We start from the raw sequence: 19783 nt of genomic DNA, 5'->3' as shown, positions 1-19783 counted from the left end.
ATTTGTGCTTGACTGTAGCAGGCTGTAGCGAGTGGTGCTATGGCCCATGTTGGGGTCACCTGTGGACAGCTCTGGCCGAGCCCACCGCTTCCTTAGCCTCTCTACCTGCAGCCATTCTCGGGAATGGGCCCTGAGGAATTAATGATTCAGGAGTGACCTTCAATTTATGGGGATAAATGTCCCACCTTCCTTGCCCTTGGTGGGTGAATCTGAAGTGTGTTTTACACAGTGTCTCAGGGTCCTTGTTGGGATTGAGCCCTAGCTGCCCCAGTGGTAACATGCTCTTCAGTGCACTCATTCACTGGCATCATCTCCAGCTCCTTCCTGTTGCCCATTCCTACTCCTTCCCTCTGTTTCCTGGGATCACTTCCCAAATAAACTACTTGCACAGGAAAGCTTGCAGGGTCTGCTTTCGAAGGAATCCAAATAAACCCAAGAACTCACTAAAACCTTGCTTATCCTCTTGCCCTCGGTAGCTGCAGCTTTTAATTGAACCCCTGACACCCAGGACTGGAAAACACCCAATCATCTAGTTCACCTCCTGCCCACCCCAGCCCCAATTTATGGCCGGATTCCCTCCATTACGAACCTCCTCTGTGTCGCTCCATTTCTAAAGTTTGTATTGTGAACTCACAAACTAGTCTAGTGACTGCCAGTTCTATACACCAAGACCTAATTTCTGGTGTGAAAGTACTTCCTGGCTGGAGATGGCTTCCTGAGTAAGCAGGAGGGCTGAGAAAAGCAACTTGGCGTGGGGATGATGAACAGGCTAGAATTGGTGTTTAAAATACAGGTGGCCACTTCCAAAGACGGGCACCTTCCTTCCCTAATTGTTCTATTGGATGGAAAGCCTGAAATGGCTGCTGTTCATTCAGGTATTGCTGATGACAAAGTAATATGGCCCAGCGTTGGTCCCTAGAGATCTCTGCTGGTGTTCGCTCAGGCGGGGCTGTGAGAAGACTTTGTGACCTATGTGAGATAATTTTAGATGTTAGATGGATGAACATATTTGGTGTTAATGTGCTTCATCATTACCCCTTGTTTTTGGCAAGTGGTAGCGGACTGCCTTCATAGTCATGAAACAAAGTTTCCTTTTTCTAAAAAAATGTGTTTGTTTAAATAAAGGAAAGTGAGTCAATTAAAAAAATCAACTAGTACTTGGATACCACAAAACATTGTGAGATACTGAAATCTGAGAAACAGCATCAGAGAGTGTGGGTCCAGGTGTTTCATGCAGGGAGCATGAATGTGCTTTGTCCTTCTTGCTAATGTCAACCATTGTTTATGACCTTTAAATTCTTGCTTCAAAGAAGGGTGGGGATTTTCTTATGATTTAAGAAGATATTTTTGGAAACCAAAGCATATTCCTGACTAGCCTGTGTAAGCAAGACTTTTTAAGCTGGGTCAACTGATTGCTTGACTAAATGAGGAGCACAAAAATAGACTCTCAGACTTAGATTGAAATTCCAGGTATTTGCTTCTGGAGGCTGCTACTGCTAAGCCACGCCCAGCTGCACGTAGGCAGTTGCGGCTCAGCTGCTGGGTGGCAGTGATTATTGATTGCTGAAGAACTGAGCTATAAATGAAGGAACCAAAAGCTCAGCGCCTCATCCCCTGTGCCTTCTTGGCTGTTTGGACCGACCTGCCACTCCAGGCAGGAACTCTCATTTACGGGAACATATTTATTTTTACATATCAATGATGTATTTTTGATGTACTTGATTAAGTATTATGGGTTCAGCCCCAGGAAACACTACTGCAGTTTATAAATAGTGAGTTCAGGAGTGTACAAGGTTCCTGGAATTAGAGCAGTATTTTTGTTTTTATGTGTCTCTGTACATTTAGTTTTCCAAAGACCATTCTCACCCAAGTATGTCTGCTTTTATTTCTAAAACACATCTTTGTATGAATTTCTAGAACCATCTGCTATGTTCTTTTCTCAAACACCTAGCTGTGCCTATTAATCGCAGATAACAGCTATTCATTATATTCCAGATTAAAAACCTAAGTTCCCCATCAGAAGCCCAACCCTTCAGGTCCATGTTACTTTAAGCCAGCCTCAACTTATTACTTGGAATGAGGCTTTATTATCTGGCAACAATACAGCCTCACAGAGATTTCAGCATTCATCATATCATTTATTCAGGCTCCTGAGAGATTCCACTTAAGCCGATGAAACAGATTTTTATCATCAGTTGACCTCTTCTCTCTCCACTCCCTTTACAAATCCCAACAGAAATGGAGATCTTCACCCTTTTCAACAAACCGAAGAGCCATCAGAAGTGCCGGCAATACTACCCTGTCACCATTCCTCTCCATGTCTCCAAGAATGGCCAGACAGTGAGCGGTTTGGACGCCAACTGGTTAGAGCACATGAGCGACCACTTCCGGAAAGGAGGCATGCTGGTGAACGCAGTCTTCTACCTTGGAATAGTGAATGGTATGTTTGGAATTCACAGTCCTTGGGTGGCCCTTTGTGAACTCTGCTTCTAACTCTTGAAATCTTAGTCCCTCTTCAGAGTCTGCTTCATTCAGAAAGCTCTGCAGCCGATAACCATGCTGCATTTTATTTCTAATTAACACATCTTGAGGAACTTTCCATAAAGCCCAGGGCCTGTGCTCTCAAAACCTCTCTACGAGTCAGCCAGGTATCTTCTGAAATGACAGAGAAAGTGGAGTGATTCTATTTCATCGAAGGTGGCCTCAGTCTCTGTTGCTTTTAAAGGCTTTTAAAAAGATTGTTCCCTGGATTTGTTAATTACCCCCTGGGATTGTGGCATTCCAAAGTGCAAATTGTTTGTAGACACTATTACAGTTTGAAGTAGCAGTAGCAGCACCTTGAAATTAACAGCAGAGAAATAAATTGAACAGCCTGGTTTCTGTAAGCTCCACTGAGACACACACTGTTCCCAGGTCTCCCAGCACCCAGTACCCCCTCCCCAGTAATGTGCTGTCTCTAGTGGTTTGCTGCATGGGATAGCACTATTGATGTCAGCTCTCCTAAGGCAGAAAGTCTGCCCACAGTGGGAAAATGTGTCAAACAAAGAAAAGGCTTTAGGTTAACGAGAAGGCAAGTTGAGTCACCAGGGTGTGTCAAGTCTGGGAGGCAACTTGGGGAGTGGGACCAACGTGCCAGCACGTGCGTATCCTGAGGACTGCCAGTCAGCAGGATTCCTAAGTGACACATAACACCAAATTTGTCAATCCCAGCAAAACCTGGCAGGGGGCATCAACAGCGCCGTGTGTTGTTGTTGAGCTGTTTTCTCTCAAGAATTAACAGAGTCACGAACAGAGTTTGGATTCTACATTGTTTGCAATCCTTGAAATGCCAGCAAGCATCCTGAGAATAGAGACCATTCTGAATTCTAAATGAATGTACTTTAAATCATCCAAAGTCTTAGAACATGATACAGCACAGACAGCTCTTAATTTTGGATGCGAGTCTCTATCTAAGTATCATTGACTAATATTGACACGTTATCATAGTAGCAGCAGGCATTGTATAGTGTAGTGGTCCATAACCATTTGTTGAATGCATGAATGACACAAGAAAGGTGATTGGCTTGTTAAGAATACATCCAGAGCAGGGCTGTCCAATAGAAGTGCCCATGATGATGGAGGTGTTTGTTCTGTACCTGGGTTGTCCAGTATGGCGGCCACCGGCTGCCTGCGGCTACTGAGCACTTGAAATGTGGATACTGCATCTGAATAATTGAATTTTAAAATTCATTTAACTTTCATTAAGTTTAAATAACTATATGTGGCTAGTGGCTAGTGTCACTGGTCAGTGTGTACTTGGTCAGTGCAGTTCTAGAATATACATGCCTTTTTTTTTTTTGGACAGAGTCTCGCTCTGTCGCCCAGGCTGGAGTGCTGGAATGCAGTGGCGCGATCTCGGCTCACTGCAAGCTCCACCTCCCAGGTTCATGCCATTCTCCTGCCTCAGCCTCCCGAGTAGCTGGGATTACAGGCACCCGCCACCACGCAGGCTAATTTTTTTGTATTTTTAGTAGAGATGGGGTTTCGCTGTGTTAGCCAGGATGGTCTCAGTTCCCTGACCTCGTGATCCACCCGCCTTGGCCTCCCAAAGTGCTGGGATTACAGGCGTGAGCCACTGTGCCCGGCCGAATATACGTGTCTTTAATACAACTAATGTAGGGTTACTTCTGTGCCCTGGTGGCAAGGTGGGTAACCTCCCTCTACACAAGGAAGCCCTCCGTGGGTACTTACAAAGTTCCCCAAAGCCAGGGGTTGTCACGGTCTGGTTTCAGATGCATCATAAAACACCAGTGGCGGTACATGCTTGGGGCCAACTTGGGACAGATGTTTACAGCCTGACATATCAGTGTCAGAGAAGGCCAGGGAGGAACCTTTGGCTCCCTGTTTCCTGCAGGGACACCACATTGCCCATCTTGGGTTGTGGCAACAGTGGCTCCTTTCATCCCCTCTCGGTGCCCATAGATGCTATCTGTGGCCATGCATAGTTTTACATTCCTCCCTAGGAAACTGATGGTTAGTTGTTGAAGGTGTGCAGAGAGGTGCTGGAGATAGTGGATACACAGGTGGCCACTTGGAATTTCTTCCCCTCTTAGGAAAACTAGGGCATCAGAAGGAAGGTTTTCTCTTTGACCCCACTGCCTGAGCATGTCAGGGGCCCTAAGACCTCCAAGAAAGAACACTTGGAACGTTCACAAACCCATTTGCTGTTCCTCTACCATTATGGTTTGGTGATCAAGGCTGAGTTAGCCTCCTCTACTTCCCGTCACCCCACTCTTCAACCTGGAGTCCAGAAATGCAGACAACTTAAGCAGCTTTTTCTTCAGATTTGACTTGAGTGTTTGAAATACTGTTATAGCCTCCCTTGGCTTTAACCACATTAAATTCATTCTTCCTGCCCTGAAGACAGAACATGAAATTTCCCCTGGCAAGCGCAACCGTGAAGTCCTCCACAGGGCCCAGGCATCTTCCTGTATGCAGCCCGTATCTTAGAGCGCCACCATAGCTGTTCATCTCTATGTCAGGGAGGGCTGCACAATTCTCAGAACAAAATGAATTGAAACCCACTCTGACTTTAAACACCATTTCACCCTTTATATGTCTTTTGGGAGGGAGAGTATGACTGGGAGTAATGCTTCCTGGGTTAGGGCGTTTCTGCTCTGGAAAAGTCCAAGGTTTCCGTTGGCCAGGGATGAAATACGTGTGTGATCTTTTCCCAGAATTAAGAAAAAAAATGGCAAGCTAATCGTAATCATAAGAGGAACCTATTTCTAGTGAGATAATTAGTGTCCTTACAAATAAAGCTGGCAGAGCTAGAAGCACATCTTTAAGCTGTTTGCCATCTGGAATGGCACTAGTCACGACTCCTGAATAGAGATTTATACTCCAAAATATTTTCCACAGGGTCATAAAGCTCATGAGAACTGTGTCCCATAAACAAGGTGATGTTTCAGCCTGAATTACCCAGTGCAGACTCCAGAGCTTCTGTTCTTGAGGCATTACTCCCCTCCCCATGCCTCCCACCCTGGGACATAGAAAGACTTGTACAGTCCTCAAGTTTGGGCTCCTGCTCATGGTGTCCAGGACTCCTCTCCCTGGGTCGTTCATTAAACCTTAGAATGACCCGGTGTCTTGGGCTGGGGGAGGCTCTGCCCGTGGGCTCTGGCAAGCTTAGGGCACAGAGGAGGGGCATAGTGATGACCATGGACACCTAGCGGTTGCTTTGTGTGGGTGCTGGTCTCAGTAATTCAAACTTAGCATTGACTTCATCCTCACAATACCTCAGTGAAGTAGGTAGTTATGCCTGTGTTATAGCTGTGGAAACTGAGGCACAGAGACATTATGTCATTGTCAAGGTTACTGGCTAGTAAGAGCAAGAAGGTGGCAGGAAGAAAGAAGGGGGTAGGCAGACAAAAGGACCATGAGGTGGGCGGGATAGAAAAGGAAAGACGTGGCTATGCTGGCAGGAGTTGTGGCCCCCAGCGGGACTTTGGCGGCTCTCCCGGTGGGACGAGGAGGACTCCAAGGTCACTCTAGGGAGGTGGCAGGACCCGATGGAAGCAAGAATGAGTCCAGGGGCCACATATAGAGCAGCCAGGCACTCAGGAACATGTCGGCCAGTGAGATGAAGGCCAGTTTCTCTATTTCTAGAGGATGGGAAAGACCAGGAGGAGAGACCCCGAGCTGAGCCAGCTGTTGTGGAGGAGTTGGGTGGGAGCCAGGAGTTTGGGGTAAGACTAAGGCTGCCCACCCCTGAAGACCCAGCGAGGAGGCTGATTTTTCACGAAGGCCTCTGGGCCTACAGAATGGCTGCTGCCATCACCAGCCACTGAGGCTGCTGCCGCTGCCACCATCTCTCTTGCCCTGCCTTGCCCAGCATTCCTCTGGTTCTGTCCTGTCCCCCGCCTCCAACTACCCTCTTTGCCCTGCCTTCCCTGCTCCACACCCCTGCCCACTCCTGTCCTCGTTCCTCATACCCTTGGCCTGTGCTTGCCCTTTCCTACCCTGGCAGTCCTCCACCTCTTTGTTTCAGAAATGGCCTTTGCAGCTGATTATCCAAACCAGAATCTACTCCAGTAACAGTCGGTGTTTGCGGTGACTGTATCCTCACTTCTCTTTTTGCCTAGAAGAGCCCTTTTTTCTTTCCCTGACTGCTTGAAAGGAACCTAGCCTCTTATTCTGCAGAATGGCCTGCATGATGGTTTCATCTGGTCAGGGCTCATGGTGTCATTGATCTTATATCTCCAGCCTCTATTTCCTGTAACCTGGAAGTTAGTTCTAAGGCCTTGATAAGTTAAGAATTATGACAAGAATACGTTCCAGGCAATGTGTTCTCCACACTGCATCACATAGGGGTCACATGACACCCAGATGTCTCTCTGCTGCCACCTTTTTAAAAGATTAGGTCTCCCTTGAGACTTTCTCCGGTGCCCCAGCTGCATCTAAATCCAAGTATCACTTTGTATGGGTATTTATACCACCTTTTTTTGACACCTAGCATATCCTCCATGATCATATATTTGCAAAATACATAAGTAAAACACATGTACATGTTTTAAATAAAATATATATTAAATATGTGGGGTATATATTTTATACAGACATACTCGCAACCAACCCCCCAGGCAGGTCCTACTTTTTGTACTTTCTTAACATCACAGTGCTGTATTCAGAAGGTGGCTAATGATAGTTCTGGATGATGCTCAATAATGCCAGTGGTGGTGAGGGAAAACACTGATATTGGAGTGTTTCCCCAGGAATCTGCAGGTTTTAGGGTGGGACTGGTAAAGAGGGAGAATGAAGTAGTACCAGGTGTTTCTGATAGCCACTCCCTTGGGACACCACCCACCTCCAGGAATGTCTGGCCTAGTGGTTACAGGCAGGGCTTCTATTTCAAAGAAGCCACTTAATAATGTAGGGGCTAAATTGCACGTATGCCATTAAATGCATTTTCTCATGTGTCCATAGGACACCTTTAAAAAAACTTTTATTGCAGTTTAGCACACACGTAAAAAACTGTACAGATCATAGGATATAGCTCAGTGGCTTTTCACAAGGTGAGCACACCCATGTCACCAGCACAGAGATCAAGACGTAGAACTTAACAAGCCCCTAGAAGCCCCTGCGTGCCCCACGCTGTTTCTATCCCCCCAGAGTAACCACAGTCCCTACTTGAAACACTGTTGATGAGTTTTGAACTGTACAGACTTTATATACTTGTCATTGTGGGATTCATTCATATTTTTACATGTAATTGAAGACCATTTTCTCTCATTGCTGTGTGCTATTCCATTGTGTCAAATACACAGCTATATACGTAACTTAGCCATTTACAAGCATATTTTTATTTATTTATTTATTTTGCCCCATATAGGACAGCATGGCATCTGCACAGATGTGGCCCCAAACAGAAGCCCTAAGCCCATCTCATTGTGACCCAACTGAAATCTCACCCTAACCACCGAGGCAGAGAGAGTATGGTGCAGTGGTCAGAAAACACCAGCTCTGCAAGGGTAGAAACCTAGCCTGTCTAGCACCTACCCCCGGTGCCTCAAACAGGATCTGCTTCACCATAGTAGTAGCTCAATGTCTACTGTGGAAAACGAGTAGGTTTTAGGATGAAACAAATCACATTTCAGATCTGGCTTGGCCCTTGAACTCCACATGAACATGGACTAATCATTTAACTCAGTTGTCTACCCACTAAAAGGGAATGACAGCTCTTACAGAATTTTGGGGAGGATTCAATGAAAAGCCTTGAACTGCATCTGGCAGAGTGCTTCCACGTCCAGCTAACACTGAATCAGAATGTTTCTTCCCTATCTGGTCAGTTAAATGGCGCTGCAACTTGCAAGCTAACCCTTTTCTACCTGAAGAGGAGTAATATCTTTTCTAGATTATTCATTGCCTCAAATTGAGAATGTAGGAAGGCAGGCCGGCCCAGAGCAGCAGTGAGTGTTCAAGAAGCAAGAGAAGGCAGCAGCCTTGCTCATTCTTTGGTTAATAGAGCAAATTAGCTGCAGTGTGATTGGGAAGCAACATGGCACCGTTACCTGGGATTGGTTGAGCGGTGATTACATTTGCCATGGGATCACATGTCATATGATTGCATGTGCAGTTGGGCTTACGCAGTTGGCGATTGCTAATCCTGGAATCAAGGTGGTGCCAAGAATCCTGGAATCAAGGTGGTGCTGTGCGACCTCTGATGGAGAGAAGGCGCCCTCAGAGAGCCAAGAGGATCTGTTATGCCAGCTAGTCCAGGGTGGACAATCTGGTCCAGTCTAGCTTGTTTAAAGGAGAACAGTAACACTTTGTCTTTAACCCTGCAAAAATAGACCAAATGCATTGACCGCTTGTCATGGCATGCACATTCAGGCTAGACTTTGGCGAAGCACAGCACCCTGGGGCTGAGCCTGAAGGTTAGCTTGATATAGACAGTCTTAATGTCTCAGAGGCTGCAGAAGAGTGGTTGCCTCACAGAATTTACCTCTTGAAATAATATGGCAAATCTCCTTTTCCCACATCCTTCTTGTAAATCATAAGCTTGGAATATTAAGGTGGCCTTTTGCCAAAAGACCAGCATCAAATATTTATACAGTACGAGGGAAAATAGCTTTTTGTGCACAGTAGGGAAGCATCTTCGCTTTAATAAAAAATGCAGTGATAATGGAATGTTTTCCATAGACGGAGGGCAGTTTAACCTTTTTACATTGGAGCCTTCACTCTAAGATAAACCTATTTATACCCAATTCAGTGCACATTATAGTGAGGCTGAGCCATGAAGGTAATGAGGAGACAAGGAGTGGACAAGGCCGTCAAAACAAGCGACTCTTTAAAAGCCCAGCTGTCTGCTCTCTGGTTCATTGACTTTTTTGCTGTTACAGATAACCAGATTTTGATAGCCATTCTGAACTTCAGCCTCATGGTTAAGTAGGTGAATCAGTGCTCTGGATTCAGAATACTGGAGCATTAGGCTGAGGTGGGGAGGCTGGGAGGCAGGCAGTGGATGAGGTGGGTGGTGAATAAGGATCTGGGTGTGTTCCTCCTTCATGCCCTCAAGCTAGCCGTAGCTTTCCCTGCGGACTACACAGCCCCCTTCCCAGGCCTGTGACTCAGGAGGAAGGAGAGGAAGCCCAGCAGGGGATGGAGAAAAAGTCTGGATGGGCTGTGAGTGTCCCCTTCCCTCTTCTGGACCTCGGCTCTGCCATGCTCGCCATGGGCAGGCTAAACACCATCATATAATTTATGTTGAATTAAGCACTTAAGTACTGAAAGCACATGGCAGGCACTTTTAAAGGGCTTAGAGGTTTTCCATTGAGAAGATCTGTATGTAGAGGCTTTGGAAATTTGATATAACTTATTTTTGTAGTAGTCTTGAGGAAATGTGTGCTGTGTTGATACAATCCTGATGGAATCATTGAGTGTCTTCTGGTCTCAAGCATGCCCAGGTCAGGATTTGGGAGGGCTTTACTCAAAGGGGTCTCTTAGGGCATCCCTATTGTGATAGGGGCTCCAGATGGACTCCTGGAGTGTTACCCAGGACTTAAAAAGTAAGCTGGACTATGGTCCATACTCACCTTGGACCCCAAAATACTTGTGATGTGATTTAGCTGCAGAGCAGCTGTTTTTCCCTGATAACCTATGAAACATGTCTCTTAGGAGGCCATGGAATAAGCACTTGGGAGGAACATTTCAGCAAAGCAGATGAGAGAGGCAAGCTTAGCATCTGCCAAGGCTGTTTGATAACAGACTCTCAGGATGGGAAACAAGAAGTTGGAGTGTGTTATTGGTTTACCCATAGGGCTCTTACTTGAAATGGAGAACTATCTTATGTTGGGATAATATCAGGATAAGGCTGCTGTGCTTATTACCTTACAGCCATGGTTTGTTGAACCGGTTAGGCCTTCCTATTATTCTGGAATGAGGACCCAAGCTAAGCAAAGTACAGTGGTCTTGTTTTTAGGTCTAGGTTGTGCATTGTGTCAGTCAGCTATTGCTCCAATAATTCTGTGTAACAAACCACTTCAGAACTCATTGGCTTACAATGGTAACAATTTACTCTGGCAGATTTTGGGGTTGGCTGGAGCAGCTCTGTTGAGGCAGAACTGGTCTCAGCTGGGCTCCACTGCGGCAGCTCTGCTCCATTTGTCCTTCATCTCCCTAGAACCAACTGGCTAACTGGGGCATGCCCTCTCAATGTAATGGCCAAGACACAAGAGGCCAAGTTCAACCACACACGTGCTTTTTATGTCTCTGCTTGCATTACACCTGCTAATATCCCATTGGCCAAGCAAGTCAGATGAACAGAGCCCTAAGTGGCTGGCCTCCCCACCAGTCAATTTAGTCTTAACCACCTTCTCTCCTGATTCTGCTGCTCACCTGGTCCTTGGCTGTCCTTCGTTCACTCTGCATGTCAGGCTGGCTGTCCCTTCCTCCTGGAACTCTCAAACCCTGCAGATCCATGTTCCTTGCTTGCTTAGTTCACTCGAAGTGGGGAGCCCTACCCTGATGCCTCTTTCAAAAATAGCCACCACCACTGTGTCCACCTTCACACTCTCCCCTTGGCCCACTTAGTATTTTTCTAGCATGTATCACCTCTGACATGATGTTATTGTCTTCCTCCTCCACTGCAAGGTAAGCTTCATGTAGGCAGGGACTTTATCTTGCTGCTTGTGAGATCTCTAGTGACTACAGGACTACTTGGCACATAATAGATTCCCAGTAGGTGTCATAATGAATGGCTGGAAGGTTATTCAGTGCACTTGAACTCCAGTAACATGTCACTCACCCTTCTGAGGCCCTATATGCCATTTTTAGACTCCTCTAAGGGAAGTTTTTCTATTTAGATTACACTAAAATCATCTCCCCATAGTTTTAAAAAACTCTTTGATTCTAGTTAGGCCTTCAAGAGCCTTGTAGAGGAGAGAAAAAGGAAATTCTTTGTCATTTGTGTTGTCCATTTACTTGTGTTATACCTGTATTAACTTGTTAATAACCTCACAGAAAAGGATATAAAAGAAAACTCAAATTATATGTAATTCTACCACTTATAACTGCTGCTAGCATTTTGTGTATTTCCTTAAAGTTTGTCTAAACCATTTTAACATAAAAATCCATATTGAGCTCATGTGGCAGTTTTATATCCTAGTTTTTTCTCCATAATATTGTATCTAAAGCATTTTTCCAAATCATTAAATTCCCATAATATTTTTAGGGACAGGCTAGTATTTTATAGAAATCTCCAAATTTAACTATTTTTCTATGGTTAAATATTTGGATTGTTGAACATTTAGATTAAGTTTTTAAGTAATTTTATAAGTAATGCTTGTAGATGGGTATTTGATGGCATTGGAGGTTATTACCTCATGATAGACAAGAAAGGTAAGATTTCTGGGTGAAAGAGGGTGGACTTTTTGTGGCAAGCTCCTGCAACATTGTTAAATTGCTTTCTATAAAGATTGTACAGTTAAAATTCCCTTAAGCACTGTAAACTTTTGCATATCACCATACCTTTACCAGCAGTGAAAATTTTCTTTTCAAAATTTGTCACCTTGCTAAATAAAAAAGAAGTTGAGGCCTGGAACGGTGGCTCTTGCCTGTAATTCCAGCACTTTGGGAGTCCAGCAGTCCGAAACTAGCCTGAGAAACATAGTGAGACCGCATCTCTACAAATAATAAAAAATTAGCTGGGGTGGTGGCATGTGCCTGTGGTCCCAGCTACTCGGGAGGCTGTGGTGGGAGGATCACTTGAGCCCAGGAGGTTGAGGCTGCAGTGAGCCGTGATTGTGCCATGGCACTCCAGTCTAAGAGACAGAGTGAGACCCTACCTCAAACAAAAAAAAAAAGAAACTGCAATTTTTTTCAATGTTTACTGGCCATGGAAAGATAAAGAGAATTAATTAATTGCTTTATGTCCTTTGTTTCTAATGGTGTTTCAGTATTTTTAACTATAAAAGCTTTTTATATATAAAAATATTAAGCTTAGCCTTTATTTTTGTTATTGTTGTTGCAAATAATTTTCTCATGCTGATGACCTTTTGTTTATGGGGTCTCTTGGGAGCCAAAGCTAAAGATTGTTATATATTCACATTTGTCAGTCTTTTTCTTTGTGACTTCTAGAAAATACTGGCAGTTCCAGGAACTCCAGCATGATTCAGGGGACTTTCTGAATTTGTCTCCCTTCCCTCCCCATGAAAAAAAAAAGGTCACATTATTATGGATTTGCCCTATTAAAAATTGTCCTTTTAAAAGAGCGTATCATTGAAATGCGCTTTGTTTGTATGTTTACTAGGACTGTCATAACAAAATACCACACACTGCGTGGCTTAAACAACAGACACTTATTTTCTCTCAGTTCTGGAGGATAGAAGTCCATGGTCAAGGTTCCCACAACTTCAGTTTCTGGCTAGGGCTCTCTTCCTGGCTTGCAGACAGCCACCTTCCTGCTGTGTCCTCACGTGGCTTTTCCTCTTTACACACGCCAGGAAAGGGAGAGAGAGGGCTCTGGTTTCTCTTCCTCTTCTAATAAGGACACCAGTCCTATTAGACTAAGGCCCCATCCTACCCTAGTTAAAGGAGGACTAGGACCTCATTTAACCTTAATTACCTTCCTAAAGGCTCTGTCTCCAAATATAGTCACATTGTGGGTTAGGGCTTCAACATACGAATTTTGGGAGGAAACAATTCAGTCCATAATATTATGATTGAGCAGTGTTTATAGCATCAAGTCTGGGAACCAAGAGAGATTGTCCATAATCCCATAGATGAGAGACCTAGCCCTTGAAAGAGTCACATCACCTTTCATGATAGAGCCTAGCTTCAAACCACTTGCTTCTAAGTCAGTCTTCTTCCCCCAAATCCCTTATCAAAATGAACCTAGGACATTTAGGAGCCATGCCCCAAACAAAGGGGCAAAAGGTGCTTCCCTTAGTGTATTCTATAGGGTCAAGGACTCTGTTCAGTATTTCTTTTTTTTTTTTTTTTTTTTGGAGACAGAATCTCGCTCTGTCACCCAGGCTGAAGTACAGTGGTGCTATCTCGGCTCACTGCAACCTCCACCTCCCCGGTTCAAGCGATTCTCCTGCCTCAGCCTCCCAAGTAGCTGGGATTACAGCCATACCCTGCCACGCCCAGCTAATTTTTTGTATTTTAGTATAGATAGAGTTTCATTGTGTTGCCCAGGCTGGTCTCGAACTCCTGAGCTCAGTGAATCCTCCTGCCTTGGCTCCCAAAGTGCTGGGATTACAGGTGTGAGCCACTGCGCCTGGCCTGTTCTATATTTCTTTTTACCCTCATTGCCTAAGATAGTTCTTGATCATGCTATACATTTCATGTATACTTGTCGAATTGTGCAGAGCTCAGAACCTGGTACATTGACTAGAGCAGCACCCAGGGAAACATTTCCAGTGGTAAATTATTTGGGAAAATTCCCTCTCCCCCACATTCCACCTCTTGACAAGAGCTGCCTAAGATGTTGTCTGGACTGCAGCCCACATCATGTGAACTTCCAAAAATCAACGCATCTGACAAGCTCAGATCTGGTGTGTTATATCTCTTCCCTTTAAAAAAAAAGAAAAAAGAAAAAAAAAACCCTCACCTAAATATAGTTTGCTTCTAAAAACTGTCTCTAAATGACTGTGTTTTACCCTGGATAAGTTCTCCCCAGTGCATCCTGACGCTGGAGCATGAAAAGGAAGGTAAACGTGTGAAATCAAATGGTGATTGCTAACAATGAAATTTGGGCTCATAAAATCAAGGATATTATTCAAAACTGTGAGGTAAATTAGCCTCATTCATTCTGATAGGGCTAGATAGACTCTATGGCTTGTGTGTGCCTTCTTTAATTAACATGCTGAAAAGATGTTCTGATTGGGATTATTAATGAATGCAGTGGAAATGTTTGCTGCTTAGAAGACTTCTGCCACAGACGGTTTACAGACCCCCCCCACCCCCGCCTTTTTCTTTTTCCACAGATTCCTTACATGGCTTGACAGATGGAGTATTCATCTTTGAAGCTGTTTCCACAGAAGATAGCAAAACCATACAGGGCTATGATGCTATTGTGGTTGAACAATGGACAGTCCTGGAAGTAAGTGTGGGGTTGGCAGCCCCGCTTCTTTTGTTTAGACAGCACTTGTTTTATCCGCCTGCTTGATCTGACCGTGGGGCTGTGGCTCAGCTGTGGCTTTCTTCTGAGAGGGAGTTGACCTGGTAGGTCCTAGAAGGATCCCCTTAGTCTTTTCATTCCCCTCTTTTCCCACCCCCAGGTAGGGGTGGGCCCCGCTCTTCCCTTTCTGCAAGAAAAGCACATTGCATGTGCCTGGCCATTTGGTGGAAGGAGAGTTGTCTTCCATTAATTTGCATATAACTGACAACTCTAAGTGATATAAATGAGGCCACATAGTTTGTGGCCTCCGTTAATACTCAGAGCAGCATCAATATTGGAGCCAGACCCTGTGGCTCCCTCTGCAGCTATCCTTAGAGTTATGCACATGAGCTCACTTAATCTGCACAATAAGCCTTTTAAGTAAATACTGTTATTGCCCATTATATAGATGAGGAAACTGAGGCACAGAGAGGTTAGGTCCCTGGTCCAAGATTACACATTAAATACTGAAGAATGTCTTTGAGAAATGTTGACTCATGAGGCCACCAAATTGCTGTGGGAAGGGGAATTCCTCAAACCACGTTCTGCTGGGACTTTGGAGGAGCTAATTTACTTCCAAGATTCACTAGTGGGTAGCTGAAGGGCATTTCTCTAACTGCGGAAGCATGGACTTTTTAGCCTAGTCTCTTGTACACACAGTGTCTGGGATATAAAGGGAGAAGCTATTTGGACATAGAGAACTGAATTCTTGGTTTTTTTTGTTTGTTTGTTTGTTTGTTTTTTTGTTTTTTTTTTTTTTGAGATGGCATCTTGCTCTGTCGCCCAGGCTGGAGTGCAGTGGCGCGATCTTGGCTCACTGCAACCTCTGCCTCCTGGGTTCAAGCGATTCTCCTGCCTCAGCCTCCAGAGTAGCTGGGACTACAGGCACCCGCCACCACACCCAGCTAATTTTTGTATTTTTAGTAAAGACAGGGTTTCACCACGTTGGCCAGGCTGGTCTCAAACTCCTGACCTCAAGTGATCTGCCTGCCTTGGCCTGTTGAAGTGCTGGGATTACAGCGTGAGCCACCGTGCCCAGCCATGGACATAGAGAACTGCTTTCTGAATGCTTTGGAAGAACACAGGATTGGCATTGCTGGGAGGGCCTCTGCCAAAGAGGGCTCTCCAGGCCGAGGGAAGACAGAGGTGGATACAACCCTTTGTGAGGAGTGTGGGGCACTGGGACCCTCTAGACAGCCAGTGCTTGCCACACCCTTGTGCCTGCCAGAACTGCAGCCTTGAGGCAGTCCCTTGCCTGGTTATTGAAGTGGAGATGGGATGGTGGGGGGTGAGTTGGATGTCCCCCGGGACACTATTACTCAGCTTTGAAGCTGCAGCAGTTCCCAGCACACGTGAAGTGAGGAGCAAGGCTGTTGGGGGGCATACCTGCGTCTGAACAGGGATGAGAAATAACTGCTTGCAAGTGTGATAGCAATGGAGTACCCAAAGGAACTGGAGTCGTCAGAAGCAGGAGTTGGAAAGTCACAGCATCCGGGGCTGGTTAGCGTAGGGGCCAGAAGTCCTGAGGGAAGTCAGGAACCAGGTGACAGCCTGGTGTGAGATCAGCCCCACCAGTTACTCCTGTGTGACCCTGCTGCCCATGGTCTCTCCAGGGTCCATGCTCCTAACTAGAAATGGGATGCAGAGGAAGTAAAGCTCAGTCCAAGATGCCAAGCGAGTGTGGGCAGGTCCTGTCACCTCTCAGGACCCTGTCCTTCCTCAACTTGTAAGCTGGGCAGGTCACATGGCCCATCACGTGTGGTGGAGTGAAGGCTCCAGGTGGTGGTGAAATATGAAATGCCAAGAGTTGAGGATCTGAAGGACTGAGCAGCCGGCATTCAGTTTGCTCCGTAACATTTGGCTGTAACAGTAGCGATGCATGGCTGCACCCAAAACATGTGCCTGTGCCGAGTGATTGGCAGGCCATGGGGATGTGTGTGAAATTCCTGCTGTCTGTATATTAAAATGGCTGTTAAGGGAGGGCTCTGTGGTTCCTCAAAAAGGATGACTTGATGGCAGTGATCCAAAATCATCTATAAAATGGTTCTTAAAAATTAATGTGACTGCAGGACCAGTAGCCTCAGCATCATGTGGGAAGTTATTAGAAATGCAGATTCTTGGGCCCCACTCCAGATCTGCTGAACCCTCCGGGGGTGGGGCCTGGCAGTCTGCGTTTTAGCAGGCCCTGCAGGAGATTCTGAGGCTCACTCCATTTTAAGAACCAGGGCGGGTATAGATGCCACTCCCATGTGGGAACTGTACCCCACAAGGTGATGGATTTGAAAGGTGGGACCCCAGGAGTGATGAGGCTGCAAAGGCTCCACCCTCATGGATAGGATGAATGCCCTTAGAAGAGAGGCTGCAGACCACTGCCTCCCCTTTTTTGGCCTTCCACCTTTCATCATGCAAGGACACCTACATGGCACCATCTATGAGGAATGGGCCTTTGCCAGACATTAAACCTGTTGGTCAGTGTCAAGATGCCTGATCTTGGACTTGCCAGCCTCCAGAAATGTGAGGAATAAGTTTCTATTATTTATAAATTACCCAGCCTGTGGTACATTGTTATAGGAGTAGGAATGGACTGAGACAGAAATTGGTACCAAGAAGTGGGGTTGTTGCTATAACAAATACTTGAAAGTGTAGAAATGACTTTGGAACAGGGTAATGGGTAGACGCTGGAAGAGTTTGGACATACAGGCTAGAAAGAGCCTAGATTTCTGTGAATGGAGTGTTAGGGTGATTCTGTTGAGGGCTCAGAAGAAGAGGAGAGCTGTAGAGAGGGCCTCAGACTTATCGGAAATTATCTAAGTAGTCATGATCAGAATGTTCATAGAAATATGGACAGTAAAGGCCATTCTGATGAGGTCTTAGATGGAAATGAGGAACAAGGTATTGGAAACTGGAGGAAAGGCCATCCTTATTATAAAGTGGCAAAGAACTTGGCTAAATTGTGTTCGTGTCCTAGCGCTTTGTGGAAGGCAGAACCAAAGAGGGACGAACTAGGATATTTGGTGGAAGAAATCACTAAGCAAAGTGTTCAGGGTGCAGTGTAGCTGTTCTTGGCTGTTGATAGTAAAATGCAGGAAGAGAGAAACAAACTGAAAATGGAGTTTGTAATCAAAAGGGAAGCAGAGCTTAAAGATTGTGAAAATTCTCAGCCTGGCTTCGTTGTCAAGAATGAGAAAGTGTATTCAGAAGACAAAACCAAGGTTGGCCAGGCTACTGTTTGATAGGGAGATTGGTGCTGGTGGAAGGATGCCATATGCTATTCACCAAGACAACGAAAGGAAGACCTGAAGGCATTTCTGAGATCATCAAGGCTGCTGCTCCCATCAGAGGCCTGGAGTGTCAATGCCTGGGGGACAGAACTGTGTCAAAGGAGGTGACTTGGGCATCCTCAGTACCTTCAGGCTTACTGCCCAGTGCTGTCTCAAGTTTCTGCTCCACGCAGTCAGGCTAACGCAGCCTCTGAGATTGACATCTCCTGAAAGCAGATGGAGGAGAGATCTTGTGGGAAGACTGTAACTCCTTGGTTTATGGGTTTCTTTTCCTCTTTGCAGCTGGTGGAAACAACCTTCAGGAGTCAGCTCTTAGGTCACCTCCTGCAGGGTGAAAGACCCCTCCTCTGTGTTCTCATAACTCTCTGGGCATGACCCTATCACAGCTCCTGTTGTACTCTATCCTTGTTATTTGTCCACTTTCCTCCCTCCGTTGTGAGTTTCTTGGTCTGGGAATATTCATCTTTGTTCTCCAAGGCACTCCAGTAAATGCTTGCTGATTGGGTTGAAGGCTTTTTGGTTCAGCCCAAGGTAGACTAGTGTTTCTCAAAATTGAGCTTGTATCAGAATCACCTGGAGAACTTTTTAAAACACAGCTATCCAGGCTCTACCCCTATTTCCTATTCAATGGATGTCTTAGTCTGCTTGGGCTGCCATAACAAAATACCAGACTAGACGGATTAAACGACAGAAATTTCTTTCCTCTCAGTTCTGGAGGCTGAAAAGTCCAAGATCAAGGTTCTGGGAGGGTTTGGTTTCTGGTGAGGGCTCTCTTCCTGGCTTGCAGATGGCTTCCTTCTCACTGTATCCTCATATGCCCTTGCCTCTGAGCACGCACAGGTGGGAGGGGGCTACTCTGGTGTCTCTTCTTATAAGGACACTAATCCTGTTCAATCAGGGTCCCATGCGTATGACTTCATTTAACCTTAATTACTTCTGTAGAGGCCCCATCTCCAAATACAGCCAAACTAGGGCTTGGAGCCTCAACATACGCATTGTGGGAGGATAGAAAACATTTAGTCTTTAACGGTGGCTCTGAGATGGGGCCCAAGAATTTTCATTTCTAAAACATTTTCAAGTGAGCTGCTGCTGCTGGTGTGGGAACCCCACCTTGAGAATCCCTGTCTTAGGGGAACTAAGTGTAGACAGCTCTGTAACCAGCACAGCCCAGCAATGTCCAGTCCGGGACAGGTTCCCCCGCACCTCAGCTCTTTGAAGAGGCTCCGTCAGACCCTGACTTGGGCCTGCAGACAGCCCCTCTCCTGCCTGCCCCTCTCTAAGGCTGGGGGCATTTTTCCAGCTCTCACGTCTTCTACCCTTGAGACCCAGCTACTTCTTTTCCCCACCCTTTTGGCCTCTGGGAAAGATTTTTCCTTTTTAAGGCCTGAGCAGGTCCCTTTTGGCTTCTAGTTAACTCTGCTTTTCTGGTAACCACTGTCCTCCCAGGCAGGCCTATAATCTCTAGCTCTCCGACCACAAAACGTCCCTGCCCAGCTCTTTCTCATGTCTCACAGTGGGGACTGGTCTGTCCCTTTCCTGCCTCTTTCCTCCTCCTGTGCTGATCCCTCAGCTCTGTGTAGATGTGCCATTCCAATTCCACCCTGTCTCGCTGGCTTCCCTCTCTCTTCACGTGCATGGACACACGAAAATGTAGTGTGCGGACAGTGCAGCACGTTGGCAAGACAGCGGAGATTCCAGAGTCTGGCCTGAGTGTGCATCCTGCCTCTCTGATTCCAAGCTGAGTGACAGACTATGTGAAAAGTAAACCACACCTGCTTTTTCTATTTTCAGTTGTATAAATGGGGATACTGGTAACAACCTCTCAAAATTGATGAGAATTAAAAGAGAAAATATATTAAAA

At 45.7% G+C, this 19783-nt stretch overlaps 1 protein-coding gene across 10 annotated transcripts in view; it reads left to right on the top strand.

Annotated features, from left to right (window-relative positions):
• The window catches only part of RFTN1 (raftlin, lipid raft linker 1), a 197855-nt gene that overhangs the window by 141184 nt on the left and 36888 nt on the right, over positions 1 to 19783 (top strand). For 7 of the 10 annotated variants that reach the window (NM_015150.2, XM_005264985.2, XM_011533530.2 and 4 more), the window contains exons 6-7: positions 2237 to 2440; positions 14469 to 14584. In NM_015150.2, coding sequence (NP_055965.1) covers positions 2237 to 2440; positions 14469 to 14584 — 320 coding nt within the window. The remainder of the gene's footprint in view (positions 1 to 2236; positions 2441 to 14468; positions 14585 to 19783) is intronic. The other 3 variants (XM_017006007.3, XM_047447783.1, XM_047447781.1) reach the window with 1 other exon arrangement.

Source organism: Homo sapiens, chromosome 3 (genome assembly GCF_000001405.40).
Source record: "Homo sapiens chromosome 3, GRCh38.p14 Primary Assembly".
In the NCBI taxonomy this organism is placed as follows: Eukaryota; Metazoa; Chordata; class Mammalia; order Primates; family Hominidae; genus Homo; species Homo sapiens.
The sequence above is the reverse complement of the archived record's forward strand: the minus strand, read 5'-3'. Positions and strand labels throughout refer to the sequence as shown.